This window comes from Homo sapiens, chromosome 3, assembly GCF_000001405.40.
Source record: "Homo sapiens chromosome 3, GRCh38.p14 Primary Assembly".
Classification (NCBI taxonomy): Eukaryota; Metazoa; Chordata; class Mammalia; order Primates; family Hominidae; genus Homo; species Homo sapiens.
In genome coordinates, this window is record NC_000003.12 from 23,059,240 (window position 1) to 23,077,508 (window position 18,269).

The following is an 18,269-nucleotide window of genomic DNA, read 5'->3' on the forward strand; positions in this document are numbered from 1 at the left end:
TGGTCCTGGACTTTTTTTGGTTGGTAGGGTATTAATTATTGCCTCAATTTCACAACCTGTTTTTGGCATATTCAGAGATTCAACTTCTTCCTGGTTTAGTCTTAGGAGGGTGTATGTGTCGAGGAATTTATCCATTTCCTCTAAATTTTCTAGTTTATTTGCACAGAGGTGTTTATAGTAATCTCTGATGGTAGTTTGCCTTTCTGTAGGATCAGTGATGATATCCCCTTTATCATTTTTATTGCATCTCTTTGATTCTTCTCTCTTTTCTTATTAGTCTTGCTAGTGGTATATTTTGTTGATCTTTTCAAAAAACCAGCTCCTGGATTCATTGATTTTTTGAAGGGTTTTTTGTGTCTCTATCTCCTTCCGTTCTGCTCTGATCTTAGTTATTTCTTGCCTTCTGCTAGCTTTTGAATTTGTTTGCTCTTGCTTCTCTAGTTCTTTTAATTGTGATGTTAGGGTATCGATTTTAGATCTCTCTTGCTTTCTCTTGTGGGCATTTAGTGCTATAAATTTCCCTCTATATGCTGCTTTAAATGTGTCCCAGAGATTCCGCTACATTGTGTCTTTGTTCTCATTGGTTTCAAAGAACATCTTTATTTCTGCCTTCATTTTGTTATCTACCCAGTAGTCATTCAGGAGCAGGCTGTTCAGTTTCAGGCAGTCTTGAGTGAGTTTCTTAATCCTGAGTTTTAATTGCGTTGCATTGTGGTCTGAGAGACAGTTTGTTGTGATTTCTGTTTTTTACATTTGCTGAGGAGTCCTTTACTTCCAACTACGTGGTCATTTTTGGAATAAGTGCAATGTGGTGCTGAGAAGAATGTATATTCTGTCGATTTGGGGTGGAGAGTTCTGTAGATGTCTATTAGGTCTGCTTGGTGCAGAGCTGAGTTCAAGTCCTGGATATCCTTGTTAACCTTCTGTCTTGTTATCTGTCTAATATTAACAGTGGGGTGTTAAAGTCTCCCATGATTATTGTATGGGAGTCTAAGTCTCTTTGTAGGTCTCTAAGAACTTGCTTTATCAATCTGGGTGCTCCTGTATTGCATGCATATATATTTAGGATATTTAGCTCTTCTTGTTGAATTGATCCCTTTACCATTATGTAGTGGCCTTCTTTGTCTCTTTTGATCTTTGTTGGTTTAAAGTCTGTTTCATCAGAGACTAGGATTGCAAACCCTGCTTTTTTTTTTCTTTCCATTTGCTAGGTAGATCTTCCTCCATTCCTTTATTTTGAGCCTATGTGTGTCTCTGCACGTGAGGTGGGTCTCCTGAATACAGCACACAGATGGGTCTTGATTCTTTATCTGATTTGCCAGTCTGTGTCTTTTAATTGGGGCATTTAGCCTATTTACATTTAAGGTTAATATTGTTATATGTGTATACACCATGGAATACTATGCAGCCATAAAAAAGGATGAGTTCATGTCCTTTGTAGGGACATGGATGAAGCTGGAAACCATCGTTCTGAGCAAACTATCACAAGGACAGAAAACCAAACTCCGCATATTCTCACTCATAGGTGGGAAGTGAACAATGAGAACATTTGGACACTGGGTGGGGAACATCACACACCAGGGCCTGTTGTGCGGTGGGGGGATGGGGGAGGGATAGCATTAGAAGATATAACTAACATAAATGATGAATTAACGGGGGCAGCACACCAATATGGCACATGTATACATATGTAACAAACCTGCACATTGTGCACATGTACCCTAAAAGTATAAAAATAAAATAAATAAAACATATGTTCCCATTTCCAAAAATATATATATATAAATATATATATATATATAGTTATATGTGAATTTGATCCTGTCATTATGATTTTAGCTGGTTATCTTCCCCGTTAGTTGATGCAGTTTCTTCTTAGCATCGATGGTCTTTACAATTTGGCATGTTTTTGCAGTGACTGGTACTGGTTGTTTCTTTCCATGTTTAGTGCTTCCTTCAGGAGCTCTTGTAAGGCAAGCCTGGTGGTGACAAAATCTCTCAGCATTTGCTTGTCTGTAAAGGATTTTATTTCTCCTTCACTTATGAAGCTTAGTTTGGCTGGATATGAAATTCTGGGTTGAAATTTCTATTCTTTAAGAATGTTGAATATTGGCCCCCACTCTCTTCTGGCTCGTAGAGTTTCTGAAGAGAGATCCGCTGTTAGTCTGATGGGCTTCCCTTTGTAGGTAACCCAACCTTTCTCTCTGGCTGCCCTTAACATTTTTTCCTTCATTTCAACCTTGGTGAATCTGACAATTATATGTCTTGGGGTTGCTCTTCTTGAGGAGTATCTTTGTGGTGTTCTCTGTATTTCCTGAATTCGAATGTTGGCCTGCCTTGCCAGGTTGGGGAAGTTTTCCTGGATAATATCCTGAAGAGTGTTTTACAGCTTGGTTCCATTCTCCCTATCACTTTCAGGTACACCAATCAAACGTAGATTTGGTCTTTTCACATAGTCCCATATTTCTTGGAGGCTTTGTTCGTTTCTTTTTCACTCTTTTTTTCTCTAATCTTGTCCTCTCACTTTATTTCATTAATTTGATCTTCAATCACTGATATTCTTTCTTCCGCTTGATTGAATCGGCATTGAAGCTTGTGCATGTGTCACGTAGTTCTCGTACCGTGATTTTCAGCTCCATCAGGTCATTTAAGCTCTTCTCTACACTGTTTATTCTAGTTAGCCATCATCTAACCTTTTTTCAAGGTTTTTAGCTTTCTTGTGATGGGTTAGAACATGTTCCTTTAGCTTGGAGAAGTTTGTTATTACCGACCTTCTGACGCCTACTTCTGTCAACTTGTCAAACTCATTCTTCACCCAGTTTTGTTCCCTTCCTGGAGAGGAGTTGTGTTCCTTTGGAGAAGAGGCGTTCTGGTTTTTGGAATTTTCAGCCTTTCGGCACTGGTTTCTCCCCATCTTTGTGGTTTTATCTACGTTTGGTCTTTGATGTTGGTGACCTACAGATGGGGTTTTCGTATGGATGTCCTTTTTGTTGATGTTGGTACTATCCCTTTCTGTTTGTTAGTTTTCCTTCTAACAGACAGGCCCCTCAGCTGCAGGTCTGTTGAAGTTTGCTGGAGATCCACTCCAGACCCTATTTGCCTGGGTATCACCAGCGGAGGCTGCAGAACAGCAAATATTGCTGCCTGATCCTTCCTCTAGAAGCTTCATCCTAGAGGGCCACCCGCTTGTATGAGGTGTCTGTCGGCCCCTACTGGGAGGTGTCACCCAGTCAGGCTACACAGGGGTCAGGGACCCACTTGAGAGGCAGTCTGTCCATTATCAGATCTTGAATGCTGTGCTGGGAGAACCACTGCTCTCTTCAGAGCTATCAGGCAGGGATTTTTAAGTCTGTAGAAGCTGTCTGCTGCCTTTTGTTCCAATATGTCCTGTCCCCAGAGGTGGAATCAAGTGGAAGATATTTTGATCCAGGTAGATGGTACATCCACCATGCAGTTCTTGGCACAGGCATCAACTCCTCCGCAAGCACTATTTGCCCAGCAATGTCTGTCCTGGGCACTGGCAGGGTCAGGCACTCACTTTTAGGTGCCAACTATGCACTTGCACAACACTGATAGCAGGTGCCTTCTTAAATGTTGTGCTCTGGGCCTCTCACTTTTCTCACTCTAGCCCAGGCCTTGGACACAAGTGTGGGAATTTATAGCATCTGTTTGCATCTCTGTCTTCTTGACTCAAACCAAATAACAATTTTCTCCCTTAATAGATTTTTTTAGAGAAAGTTCTCAATCATCAGAGTATAATTATTTAAATTAGATATTATCTTCAGTAAATCAGGCTTTCAAATGTCCATTAACAGTATGTCAAAGTATGCCTAATTAAATCCTTGGATGACATAAGAATGTCTGTACTATTTATTCTGTATCATTAAAACCTAAAATGACCTTTAAACAAAATGTTACCATGACTTCCTCATTCTAGAAAAGACAAGCACCAGCAACCTTATGCAGAAAAGCTAGTTTTACTTTAGTATGCTGGTCTTCATCAATCCAAAGAGTGAAAGGAGTGGAGAGAAAATAATTCTTAGAGAGGGAGAAAGAAAGATCTGGATGATATGTCCAGCCCTGGCTGTCTTCAGCTTACCTCAGTTTTAGGCGCTGATGTTTTCAAACTACAGCCCCAGTCCCACCAAGTTAAATGCTGCAGCTCTTGCTAGTCAGAGTTTGTGGAACAAACTTGGTGCAGCAGCATGAATATCACCTGAGAGCTTGCAGGAAATGCAGAATCTCAGGTCCCACCCCAGACCTGCTCCAGCAGTATCTGCAGTTTAACAAGATCCACTGGTGATTTGGAGACACACTAACATTTGGAAGGTATGCTCTGTTTCAGCCCATCCCTTCTCCAACAGGGTCTGAAGTAGCATTTCTTCTTTTTTCATTATTATTATTATACTTTAAGTTTTAGGGTACATGTGCACAATGTGCAGTTTTCTTACGTATGTATACATGTGCCATGATGGTGTGCTGCACCCATTAACTCGTCATTCAGCATTAGGTATATCTCCTAATGCTATCCCTCCCCGCTCCCCCAACCCCACAACAGTCCCCGGTGTGTGATGTTCCCCTTCCTGTGTCCATGTGTTCTCATTGTTCAGTTCCCACCTATGAGTGAGAACATGTGGTGTTTGGTTTTTTGTCCTTGCGATAGTTTGCTGAGAATGATAGTTTCCAGCTTTGTCCATGTCCCTACAAAGGACATGAACTCATTAAAGACACATGCACACGTATGTTTATTGCGGCACTATTCACAATAGCAAAGACTTGGAACCAACCCAAATGTCCAACAATGAAGTAGCATTTCTGTTATAAGCAAAGGGACCAGCCAAGGCTAGCCTGTCTCCAGGCAGTTGTAGGGTCTCTATCTTAATCCTTGATGTGTTTGTCCCAGCCTTACAATGGTTTCTGCTGTGGTTGCTGTGATGGTTAATATTAAGGGTCAACTTCATTAGATTGAAGGATGCAAAGTATTGTTCCTGGGTGTGTCTGTGAGGATGTTGCCAAAGGAGATTAACATTTGAATCAGTGGACTGGAAGAGGTAGACCCACCTTCAATGTGGGCGGGCACCATCTAATCAAGTGCCAGCGCAGCTAGAAAAAAGCTGACAGAAGGAGGTGGGAAAGTCGACTTGCTGAGACTTCCGGCCTTTATCTTTCTTTCATGCTGGATGCTTCCTGCCCTCGAACATGAGACTCCAAGTTCTTCAACTTCTGGACTCTTGGACTTACACCAGTGGTTTACCAGGGCTCTCAGGCCTTCGGCCACAGACTGAAGGCTGCACTGTCGACTTCCCTACTTTTGATGTTTTGGGACTTGGACTGGCTTCCTTTCTCCTCAGCTTGCAGATGGCCTATTGTGGGACCTCACCTTGTGATTGTGTGAGTCAATACTCCTTAATAAACTCCCCTTCATACATACATCTATCCTATTAGTTCTGTCTCTAGAGAACCCTGACCAATACAGTTGCTAATTAGCAGACTGAGACTAGCACTCTGCCTTGATTCATACTCTGTGAATCCCACACTCCACCCCAAAGAAGTTGGGAAACTGACAGGGCCATTTTTTGTTGTCACAATGAATTGGGTGTGATATTTAGTGGTCAGGAGTCACAGATGCTAATTGTCCTGACATCCATGGGATAGTCCCGCACATAAAGAATGCATACATTCCATTAAAATGTCAAGTATTCCACTGGACATTCTGTTAGGTGAAAAATGTGTGTATAAATCTGAGCCTAGAGGTTAACTTCATTTCACACATGAACACAAAGTATTTTTGTAGGAATGCAACTACTGTGCAAATCAAGGGAAAAATAGACTTTGTTTTGATCACAATTTTACTAAGAATTGTTCGCGAATTGCCTAAAAAAAAATCACATGAATAATGGCAACAACACTTCTGGTAATTCAATTGCCAATTCAGCACACCTGTGTCCAGTTCTATTCATAAGCTTTCTCTTTCTCAGTGCAATGCTCTGATTTCTTCATTATGTCCTCTAGGACCAGGCTACTCACAAAGTGTATTCCACGTGCCAACAGCATCAGCATCACCTGGAAGTTTGTGAGAAATGTGAAATCTCAAGGCCCATCCCACACCCACTGAACCAGAATATGCTTTTTAACAGGATCTCTGGATATCTGTATGCACAGTCAAGTTTGAGAAGCACTGTTCCAGTGTATTTCTGTACAAGCATTATATATTAAAAATAAATAGTATTATTTACTTTTACTTCTCTGTTTTATAATTAGAGCATACTGATTTTTTAAATTATGTTTGTAGGTAGATTATCAATAAATGTTAAGTGTAACAAAATATTTGTTTGAAATGGAGGAAATTGGGTGGGAGAGGGTTGAGAATCACCTAGTTGGGACCTGTCCATCTGCCCAGTTATTGATTATCTACTTTCTTGAGCCCACCACCAGCTGAAGACTTGGAGCCACCCCAATTATGGTATCACCATTGATTGAAACTCCTGCTGCTGCCACTCACTAATCAGATGGATCCCCTTCAATAAACACATCAATCCCAGTCAGGAGCAAATCCCAAGACTCAGTGGGATAGAAACTATCTTTTCACTGACAAGCCATCCTCTTTCTCTTAAAGACCAGACTCATAGCCAAGTTATTCCTGCCATGCTACAAAATTTTCTCCCATACCCATGTACGTTTTCCAACTCCTAATATTCTCTGCAAGTGATCCCACCAGTCATGAAGAAGTTACAGATATAGTCTATTTGCATTCAAACTTGAGGATTCTATGTGAAATTTTCTGAGCTTCTGGAATGTTGTATACACCCACATCCAACTTAACACAAAAGTACTTTTTTTTTTTTGAGATGGAGTATCACTCTGTCACCCAGGCTGGAGTGCAGTGGCGCGATCTCAGCTCACTGCAAGCTCCACCTCCCAGGTTTGTGCCATTCTCCTGCCTCAGCCTCCCGAGTAGCTGGGACTACAGATGCCCATCACCACGCTTGGTTAATTTTTTTTTATTTTTAGTAGAGACGGGGTTTCACCGTGTTAGCCAGCAAAAATACATTTTTTTAAGCAAAATATGAATGATTTGGTGGGGGTGAGAGGAATTGGCACTAATAATGTATTATATGTTATTATTCCTCATTATGGCATAAGCACTCAAAGAATTGTTTATTTCAATTATAAAAGCTGATTGGTACAATCTTAGTTTGAATTACGCCACTGCAAAGAGAATTAGGAACTTAATTATCCAAGTTTCCACTTCACAAATTATCTAGGAAAATCTAATCATTTCTAAATACAGCAAAATTGGATATACATATGATGCATGAAGGAATTATAACTTGCACAAAAGTTTCAGGGGCTCCCATGATGTTAAGATATTTTTAATACTCATCGTATTATTGGGCTTTTTCACGTAGTTCCCATCAATCAAAAGAGAAGTACACAATTTATCAGTATATTTCCTGGTTAGGGGCTTGGTATAAATCATTTACACAGTCACGTTACACAAACTTTTCTTCATTATATACTAGAAATAATTTTTTATTTCAACCATCCTACCCTGAATCACCACCTCCCAACTTGTAGTTTAATAACATGACTTGTTCCATGACACAGCCTATAGACCTTTGAGATAGTACAGACATGAAGCAGGAAGGAGTAGTTTAAAAAGTCAGAAAACTGGTACTTAACCCTTGTGCCAGTTATCAGCTATGTGATTTCAGTCATTATATCAAACTCTGAGAATCAGTTTTCACATCTACAAAAGAAGAGAGTGGACCAAATGCTCTATAGCATTCTTTCCATCTTTAAAATTTTGTGATTATATTCACAGACCAAACACAAGCATGTTCTATAAACTGTAAAACAACTTTATAACATTTTCAATTCAACCTTGATATTAGATCACTTGGTTTTATAAAGGATTATAACTGTTATTGGTTATTGATATGGTTTGGATTTGTGTCTCCATCCAAATCTCATGTCAAAGTGTAATCTCCAGTGTTAGAGGAGGGGCCTGGTAGAATGTGACTGGATCATGGGAACTGACTTCCCCCTTCCTGTTCTCATGATAGTGAGTGAGTTCCCATGGGATCTGGTTATTAAAAATGTGTAGGACCTCCCCCTTCTCTCTTCCTCTTGCTCTGGCCATGTGAGACATGACTCTTTCCTCTTTGCCTTCCACCATGATTGTAAGTTTCCTGAGGCCTCCTCAGCCATGCTTCCTGTATAGCCTGCAGAAACATAAGCCAACTAAACCTCTTTTCTTTATAAATTATACAGTCTCAGATAGTTCTTTATAGCAATATGAGAATGAACCAATACAATTACGTATGTTCATGAAAGGAAGCAATGTCATGCTTAATTTTAAAAACCACATATAATTAATTTCTGTAAGTAATATTTTAACTTTTTTACTCTCCTGACTAAAATCTGTTAGCATTTCTGGCAAACTGGAATTCAGGGAGGCAGAAGTTGAGTTACAAACCCCAGGGCAAAGGAAGGATGCAGAAAGGCAGGGCACTGAAATTGTTAGAGATAAAGCGGGAAAAGCAGTTAATGTAATGGAACTGAACTCAGGTCTGCCCACTCAGCATGGTAATACCAAATATCCACACTGAGGTTTTATAGCAGGAGAAACAAGGGCATTCATTTGCAGGACACCAAGCAAGGAGAATCCGACAGCTCACACTTAAGACCCAACCTCCTGGATGGCTTACAATCAAGGGTTTTTAAAGGCAGATGTAAATTTCAGAAAAGTAGAAGTTACTGGCAAAATCATAAATCAATACATGGAAGTTATACATTGGTTTGGCTTTAAAAGGCAGGATATCTTAAAGCAGGGGAGCTTACTGGTCATGTATATTCAAAGATTCCCTGATTTGCAATTGATTAAGGAAGTAAAGCTTTGTCTAAAAACTTGGGGTCAGTCGAAAGGAATGTTAAGCTCTGGCCTGTGGGCATAACTTCCTCCAGGTCCCTCAGGAAGAAATTGAGAACAAAGAACAGAAGTCAGAGTTCAGTCCTCAGTTCCCCTTTATCTGAGGTCTATGTGCCAATGGATGGCATTTTCTATTTGGTAGGTGTCCAGGTTTCTGAAAAACAACTCAAGGATATGTGTTAAGGTGTTATCTTTAGTTTCTATAGGGAACTAAACATTTTGTGGCTCTAACTTCCTTGGCTATTGTTTCAAGCTATTGTTACCTTCTTGCTTGTCAGGTTGCTCATTTATTTTTCAAAGCTAGCTAGGTACCTGGAATTTTCCTTGAAGAAACTCAAGATTTGCCTTCATTTTTATGCTTGAGCGGGCCCAGCAGGCCCCTCAGAGGAGTCCCTGCTGTGTCTCAGTAACACATACGCAAACAACTTAGGGTTGGCTAAATTTCTAAACTCCGAGGACCTAAATTTGATCAGTTTGAAAGATGACCTTTGTATAGGTTATAATCTAACTTTTTAATAAAACCTTTCTCATAATTTTGCAAGAGAATAAAACCTCATGTTTGCTAAACAGCCTTTGGCAACTTGCCGAAATCTACCGAAATGTAAGGTGTGTATGACCTTTGGCTCAACAGTTCTGCTTCTCCAATTCTATTCAGCAGTAATACTGGCTGATATACAGAAAGATATGTGTTCATTGCAGGGCGATTTGCAATAGAAAAAAAATGGGAGACAACCTATGTAAATTGCTAAGAGCAAGGCAGTGGCTATGTATATCTGGGTTATGAAACACTGTATGAATTTTTATTTTAAAATAATTTCAGATTTACAGAAAAGTTACAAAAATAGTACAAAGAATTCCCATATATCCTTTACACAGATTGTCAAAATTAACATTTTATCACAATTGCTTTATTCGTTTCTCGTTCTCTACATATATATGAATATACATATATAAATATGTGTGTATATGTATATACATATATGTGTATATATATGCATATGTATAATGTAGATATGTGTATATATGTGTGTATATATATATAATATGTATATATACACACACATACACACGTATGCATTAGTCATTTTCAGCAAAATTCATAAACTTTTTTTCTCCTAGTCCAGGACCAGGCATTGCATTTACTCGTCCTGTCTCCTGAGTCTCCCTTAATCTGTAATAGCTCCTTGGTTTTCCTTTTGTATAGAGCACCCTTGACACTAACTGCATCTTACAAAAAGACTCCATTTTATATTTCACAGGGCACCTTGCCAACAAGAATATGATGTTTAGCTTAATAAACAAATAAAAAAACATAAAGACTGCATCCAACCAGGTAAGAGTACAAACAAACACACTCTTACACATTCAGCAGCTCGAAAAGGCCATCTTAACTGACATTGTCTCGCAGCCACTCATGATAAGAACTCGGCGGCCGGGCGCGGTGGCTCACGCCTGTAATCCCAGCACTTTGGGAGGCCGAGGCGGGCGGATCACGAGGTCAGGAGATCGAGACCATCCCGGCTAACACGGTGAAACCCCGTCTCTACTAAAAATACAAAAAATTAGCCGGGCGTGGTAGCGGGCGCCTGTGGTCCCAGCTACTCGGGAGGCTGAGGCAGGAGAATGGCGTGAACCCGGGAGGCGGAGCTTGCAGTGAGCCGAGATCGCGCCACTGCACTCCAGCCTGGGCGACAGAGCGAGACTCCGTCTCAAAAAAAAAAAAAAAGAACTCGGCATCTGCCACAGAAGGCTGTACCACATCAAAGACTCTTCCTTGTGAGACCAACAGACTGCCCTGCCCAGCCCAGCCCAGCCCAGGACTCCTTTTATCTTCTTCACTCATCCTGGACGGTGGTTTACCACCTCTTTCTCCTATCTCTTTTTTCCTGTTGATGTTAAATGTTCTTTGTTTGTTGTGGAATGTTTAATCCATAACATTTATATATTAAGTATACTATTATGTATGGTTTGCAATATTGACTGACTTGTGGAGTGGCTTGAGCCTGTGTGCATGTGGCTCTGACTACTGGGTGAACAGGAAGTGCTAAGGAGAATTGCCTCCTTGGGAATTCTGTGTGGTTTGTGACTCTTTTTTTCTTTTTTTTTTCTTTTTTTTTTTTGAGATGAGTCTCACTCTGTCCCCCAGGCTGGAGTGCAGTGTTGCTATCTCGGCTCACAGCAAGCTGCGCCTCCTGGGTTCACACCATTCTCCTGCCTCAGCCTCCCAAGTAGCTGGGACTACAGGTGCCTGCCACCATGCCCAGCTAATTTTTTGTATTTTTAGTAGAGATGGGGTTTCACCGTGTTAGCCAGGATGGTCTCGATCTCCTGACCTTGTGATCTGCCCGTCTCGGCCTCCCAAGGTGCTGGGATTACAGGCGTGAGCCACCGCCCCCAGCCGGTTTGTGACTCTTGTGATTGAAATAGCATTAATAAAAGCCTGACCTTATGGAAAGACACAAACATGCATAAACCCAGTTATCTCTAACTTTGCAGCGGTCATGACACCATTGTCTTTCATGACTGACTTTTTTTTTTTTTAACCCAGGATCTTACTCTATCCCCCAGGCTGGAGTGCAGTGGTATGATCATATCTCACTGCAGCCTCGAACTCCTTGGCTCAAGTGATCCTCCCACCACAGCCTCCCAAGAAACCAGGACTACAGGCCTGCGCCACCACACCCAGAGACCTTGACATTTTTAAGCAGTACAGGCAACTGGGCACAATGGCTCATGCCTATGATTCCAGCATTTTGGGAAGCCTAGGAGGGAGGATTGCTTGAGCCCAGGAGTTCAAGACCAGCCTGGGCAACATGGTGAGACCCTGTCTCTGCAATAAAAGCATTTAAAAAGTTGCCGGGTGTGGTAGCACACATCTGTGGTCTCAGCAACTCAAGAGGCTGAGGCAGAAGGATAGCTTGAGCCTGGGAGGTTGAGGCTGCAGTGAGCCACAATCACTCCACTGCACTCCAGCCTGGCTGACAGAAAGAGACCCTATCTCTTAAATAAATAGTTCACTCCAATTATTTCTGTAGAATGCCTCCTAATTTGGATGTGTCTGAGGTTTCCTCATATTAGATTACACAGCCATTTCTCATGTAAGTAAATATATATGTAATGACATTCAAGACCTCGAGATATTTTGGTAATAGAAAGGGGGATCATATTTGTCATGGTCGCAGCAGGAAACAGATGGCCCACTCAAAGGATTTAACTGAAACTGTTCTAATGAAGAGACTCTTCACAGGTGTGGACAGAGTCAAAGAAGCAGCAAGAGATTGAGGAAACCCACACAGGATGGTAATACAACAGGGATCAGCACCAGCAGGAAGTTTTACCAGCCTTAAACTGAGAGAATAGTTACAGCTGGAGCTAAGGAAGAGGGGCCACCAGGCAGCAGCTGAAGCCACAGAGGAACATGAGTTGGGACAGGGTCAGGGTTATAAATACCCCAATTTCCTTATTACTCTCCAACCTTACACCAGTGCCTCCCATGAGTCAAAACAAACCAGAAGCAAGAGGAGAAGGAAGCCAAGATAATATAATCCACAGAAGTCAGCTCTCCAGGGCACATTACAGGACAGAAAGGATGGAGAACAGAACCTGAGCAGAGGGACAAATAGAGAACAACCAGCATGACAGCACATTCTAGTGACTGAGGATATGAAACAAGATGTCAACTTGGATTCATCTCATGGTACAGAATTTCCGCTAATGGGCAGGGCTGAAGACAGAGTCACTAAACACTCCATGTTTTTATGTGCACAAAGCAGCCAACACTGAGGCCACCCACCTCCCACAGCCCTTACAAGAGGAAACAAAAATGCAGAAGCAGTCCTACCACCCACCACCACATGACCCTCTTTTAGTCTATGTAAAAAGAGAACTAAGAGGGGAGGAGATCACCAGCCTTAGAATAGCAATTCACAGCAAGAGTCTATTCCCTCTGGTTCCCATGGAGGATTGGGAAAGGATTGCTTCCCTTTCCCCAAAACAAGGTAGGCAATCTCCACTGATGCTCCAAGAGAATCACTTGTAAAGATTTGGGGTGACCGCAAGAATAAAAGACTGGCATTGTATCCCTATATGATGTCTGCTTATCCAGATGACCTGATGATCTGCTCCATGCTACCTACATAGCAAAGAGCAGAGAGAGACGACAAGCAGGAATAGGGGAGGTGCCAGGTGGAAAGAAAGTCAGAATTGCCTCGAGTTCTTGATTTCTGAGAGACATGGAAGATGGGATCCCGCATGTCTGCCAGCTCTGGAGGTGGGTAGTTTCAGCAAGCGGTTGAGACTGAAAGAACCCTTCTTAGAACTACCATAGCTGGGTGTGGCAGAGGAAAAAGATGTGCCCCATCAAAGAATGAGACTGGATATCATCCTTGGCTGGAAGAGATGTCTAAATATGACAAAGGGATACCTATGCCCACCACCGCTGATGGAAACAAGCCTCTCTTAGATGGGGCATATTGATACTTTCACCATCCTCATTGAGCTCACAAAGGCTGGAATAGCAGATACAGTCACCAAGAAAAAGCTGTAAGCAAGCTCCCTTCCCCCACTCCCACATGGACCCAAGTAGCTAGAGCCACACATAGCTCTGCCCTCACTGAGGCTGGGGGGAGACCCTCTCCAAATTGCACTTACGACTGAAGTTTCAAAATAAATACAATGTGAAATACCAAAAATAATACCACTTTAATAGTAACTGAAAGTAACAGGAAAGCTATAGAAAAGGGCTAAGTTTCATTAAGGAACCTACTCACCACCCAACAAAAAAGGGAAACTTAAAATATCACATATGGGAGAAAGTCATTTTTAAGAAATGAAATCATTTCATATTTATGTTCCAATGAATTGTTCTCAATAATTTTCTTCATATTTTAAAAGTTAAATATATGCAAGTAAAAAGAATTGGAAGGCCACATATCAACTGTTAACAGTAATTTCATATACAAAGGGAAGAGATTATGGAAAGTAGCAAGGATTGAAGGTAAAGTTTTCCATCTTATTCTGTCTTCTTTGGCATTTGAAACTTATAAGCATGAATTGTGCATTGCTTATGGAATTATTCTAAGGATAAAACAAAGGGTTTTCTTGTACTTTATCAAGCATTGTGAGCTTCTCAATTATTAGTAATTTATTGTAAGAGTTGGAGGGAATGACACGTGCAAAGCCTTTATCATAAATCCTGGCACAAAAGATTCTCACCTAGTTCCCTTTCCCTGGTCCTCCCATTAATACCATCGTCATTAGTATCCTACACTAACTGTGATGGCCCAAATGTCATTTTATGCTTAAAAAATGAAAACTGTAAGAAATACTGTAAATGCAATTATGCCCTTAATTTTCATTCCCTTTTTAAGAATCCATATTAAAAATTTTCTTCAGAGATGAACTTAGCATTTTTTCAGTGTTTTTAGTATGCTTATACTTACTGAATTTTTCTTATATTCCTTTTGCAGCCTCAAGGTTTTCCTTTCTCCACTTGATTCTGATGTGTCTTTATCGGGATCAACCTCTCCTCTGGGAGGCACCTCTAACGTGCCCCCCAGAAAGGCACAAGTGAAAAACCTCTAGGCAAAAAAAATGTCAATGGCAAAATGTACCAGAAAACCTCAGCAAGTTCTCCCTATGTTCCCATCTCTCATGACCTCATCAGCTTTCACCTGTTCCCTTTCTGGCCCCACATCCAGGTTACACATCTCATACTTTCCCTGATGAGTTGCCAGGGCCACTAAGACAAATCCCAGCATTCCACTCTTTGCACATTATGCAAACATTTACAGAGGGCTTACTAAGCATCAAGGCTATGTTAGGAGTTGGAAGTTTATTCATAACCATGAATACAATATGTTGCCGCACACTCAAACCCCAACCTTCCCATTGCTTATGCAGTTGCAGGTTAGCCAAATCCTGTATTCCAAGCTTAGCATGAATATCATCCCTGGAATTCTAATTTTGTTATTGTTGTTGTTATTGAGGCAGTGTCTTGCTTCGTTGCCCAGGCTGGAGTGCAATGGCACCATCTCAGCTCACTGCAACCTCTGCCTCCCAGGTTCAAACGATTCTCATGACTCAGCCTCCCGAGTAGCTGGAATTACTGGTGCGTGCTACCATGCCTGGCTAATTTTTGTATTTTTAGTAGAGATAGGGTTTTGCTGTGTTGGCCAGGCTGGTCTCAAACTCCTGGCCTCAAGTAATCCACTTGCCTTGGCCTCCCAAAGTGCAGGGGTTACAGGCGTGAGCCACCGCGCCTGGCCCAATTCTTTCTAATTTTCAAAATTGGCTGCTCTGATGATGTTTGCTGTTGAGATTATACTTTATGTTGGTTGGCCAAAAAATTCTAAACTACAGTTTATTTCCTTTATTTTCTGCCTAGGATAACCTACCTCTCTGGGCCATAAAACTTTAACAAAGTCATCTTAATTTTATGAGCAGTGAAAGTTGTTAATCCTGACTTTTGAAAGATGTTTAACACAAAACCAAATTGGACATGAGTGTGGTAGTGGGCCTTGATCCAGTGGGAGACTGACACAACCTTGGGATGCTGTCCCAATTGCCACCAAATGCTGAATGAGTTTATGTCAACTTTACAAGAATTTATCTGGCATAAAGTTTCTTCTGGGATATAAACGGGACAAAAGGTTTACTTCCTATTAAGTATACCACATGTAATTCTATCTCCCTGTAAGGCTACAAAACAGTTTAGGGACTTTAGCTTGAGATAAATGATTTACTGTGATTGTCCCAGCACTCTGCTTATTTATGCTTTTCAGCAAAGTTAATATTATTGTAACAATTCAGATATGAGCACATCTTTAATTAATTCTTCTCTTATCGAAATGAATTTTGATAGAATTGTTTCTCTACATTTGGTTTCTTTTATTTGAGAAGAAAAGAAACACAGTTTCAAAGAAAACAGAATTTAAGGGCTACAAAAGAAGGGAAATGAATACACCTGTGGCATGTGAAACTCACCCCTGAATATAACTATTGGGATCAACTCAAATACTGTGTCTGTTGAAAGAATATCGTTAGAAGTATGCTTGGGAATGAAGAGTCCAGCTTTATTATTTCACAATTTTAGAGACTATGTTTTCTTGATTTTCTATAACAATAAACTGATAACCAAAATTGTAAGTAAGATATTCTGCTATCACATTGATTTACAACTAAAACCAAAAATCTTATATTTAGATAGAGTAGAGCCATGGCAAGTAATCTTGATTTGTTGTTTTAAAACCATTGCTCTTTTTGAATCTTTAAAATCTGTTCCATCCACTCCCCACTCAGCTTGAAGTTGACTTCTTATCCACCCTGTTACTCCCTCCATCTCAACTCACATTCCTTTTATGTATGAAATCATTCAATTCTTGCCCCCCAAGCAACTTCTCACCAAACTATTCTTTAACAGTATTTCAATCCAGCCAGAACAAAATTCCAAGAGAAGGAATGTGACTCCAAGCCAGAAGCTTATCTTTTTATAGAACAGAATAGAATCCACAGCTATTTGACTTGTACTGTATATAGCGCATAGCCAATGTCATGTGCACGAAAGCTTAATAAGACAATTTCATGATGAAATACCCTGGGCAAGAAAGCCACAAGAAAATTCCACAGAAAGCAGCAGGGCCAAATTCTGCAACAAATGTAATTTAGCCCACCAAATTGCAACATGTAATTGAAAGTAGCAGTGAACAACAACAACAACAAAAAAAAAAAAACAGCACAAAATTAATCCTTAAGCACTGTGCTCATGATATTCAATTAAAACATGGAAAATACATATAATAAAATATGCCAGAAGATTAAACTGTTAGCCTTTTCAACACCTATTGTGCTTATCCTAATATGCTTAGTAAGGCATCAGATAGAGGCCCTAATTCATTTGTAGTTCAAGTTACAAACCTAACATCCTGCAAAATTAGACATTAACAAATACGGATGGTTATTTTAACATATTCATGCAGTCAGTGCACATGTGCTGCTATTTCTTTTGACCCCAATAAAAGCACTCCTCTGCTTTGAAAGTATCACTTATTCACAGCATCACTGATTAATAACATTTAAGAAATCATAGAAAACAAAAGAAGTGCCAAAAGAACAAAAGGAGATGGGAGATTGCCAGGTGTTTTTCTAAATTTTTTAAAAGGGCTAAGAGTGGATTCCACAAACTCTAGGCAAATGCTGGCTGATGGAAATATTGTAGCCCCATGTTAAAATGTTAAAAGAACCAGATGAAATTCATTTTAATAGTACATTTTATTTAACTTAACATATCCAAATATTATCATTTCTTCAGGTAATAAATGTAAAAAAAATTATTAATGAGATCTTTTACATATTTTGTCATACTGCATCTTTGAAATCTGATGTGTATTTTATGCTCACACCACATCTTAATTAGGACCAGCCACATTTCAAGTGCGCTGTAGCCACATGGACAGCTTGGCTGTGCAGCTACTGAGCTGTAAGCTACTGACCTTAGCACAAATCTAAAACAGATCATTGTATCCTGGCAAAGCCTGAGGCAAAAGCTTATGTGTTATGACTTTATTAAAGGTGCAATCTCCAGGAAATAGAAACGAGGTGAAGAAGAGTGTAGTGGGAAAGGAAGGAGAGCTATTAGGAGGATGTGTTTCTGAGTTGGCCACTGTTTGGAAACAAGTACAGGTACAACTATTTGTGCCATCTCATACAATCATTTTCTTAGACACATAAGGTACTATGTCTCTGTGGGAGGAAGGACGAATTTATCAGCTAGCTTCTGTCTCACATTGGCCAGTTCACTTCACAGAACATTAATGCCCCCACACTTTCAGGTTGCTTGTACATGATGCTAGTTCAGATCCCACAGAATGTCACATGTTAGAGGCTAGGCAAAAGCCCACAGCAGCAAGAAAAAAATGCAGAGGTGCAGAAAACAGGGCATTACTGGATTATGCCCACGTGAAGCCAGCTGCCATAGCAGATGGGGAAAACAAATGGCCAAGGACCCCACAGACAGGAATGTTAGAGAAGATTTGAGATGGTATAGAAGAAACGTCTTATGCAACCAAGAAAAAATGCAGAAATGACTGAGAGAGACCACTGGTGCACCCAAATACTTCATTTAAGTCATCAGTTAGGTATATCATGTGACAACATGCCTGGACCTCTACCGACCCGTCAGCCACTTAATCTACAAATCTGATTCAGCTTAATTCCTTTCTACAAACCAAACTTTGCCCTAGGTACTCCTCAGAGTTGGGTACTATTCAAGGAACTTAAAGCCCACTAGATCAATAATGCAACATCCAGAGAGCTTTGTCCTAATTCTCTGATTCTAGGA

The 18,269-nt window shown here is 40.5% G+C and overlaps 5 annotated features.

Moving 5' to 3' along the window:
* Positions 204-373: an enhancer, noted in NCBI's record as "experimental_68455 CRE fragment used in MPRA reporter constructs". NCBI's record gives its function as "activates a minimal promoter by MPRAs in K562 erythroleukemia cells, with activity observed for the non-introgressed 3:23101019 variant allele {active_cell/tissue: K562}" and the evidence as "EXISTENCE:reporter gene assay evidence [ECO:0000049][PMID:34662402]".
* Positions 8,828-9,529: an enhancer, noted in NCBI's record as "NANOG-H3K27ac hESC enhancer chr3:23109558-23110259 (GRCh37/hg19 assembly coordinates)". NCBI's record gives its function as "activates a minimal SCP1, AML or CMV promoter by ChIP-STARR-seq in primed H9 embryonic stem cells {active_cell/tissue: H9 hESC(primed)}" and the evidence as "EXISTENCE:reporter gene assay evidence [ECO:0000049][PMID:30033119]".
* Positions 10,587-10,726: a silencer, noted in NCBI's record as "silent region_14137". NCBI's record gives its function as "represses an Ori minimal core promoter by ATAC-STARR-seq in GM12878 lymphoblastoid cells {active_cell/tissue: GM12878}" and the evidence as "EXISTENCE:reporter gene assay evidence [ECO:0000049][PMID:35858748]".
* Positions 12,042-12,091: an enhancer, noted in NCBI's record as "active region_19587". NCBI's record gives its function as "activates an Ori minimal core promoter by ATAC-STARR-seq in GM12878 lymphoblastoid cells {active_cell/tissue: GM12878}" and the evidence as "EXISTENCE:reporter gene assay evidence [ECO:0000049][PMID:35858748]".
* Positions 12,102-12,171: an enhancer, noted in NCBI's record as "active region_19588". NCBI's record gives its function as "activates an Ori minimal core promoter by ATAC-STARR-seq in GM12878 lymphoblastoid cells {active_cell/tissue: GM12878}" and the evidence as "EXISTENCE:reporter gene assay evidence [ECO:0000049][PMID:35858748]".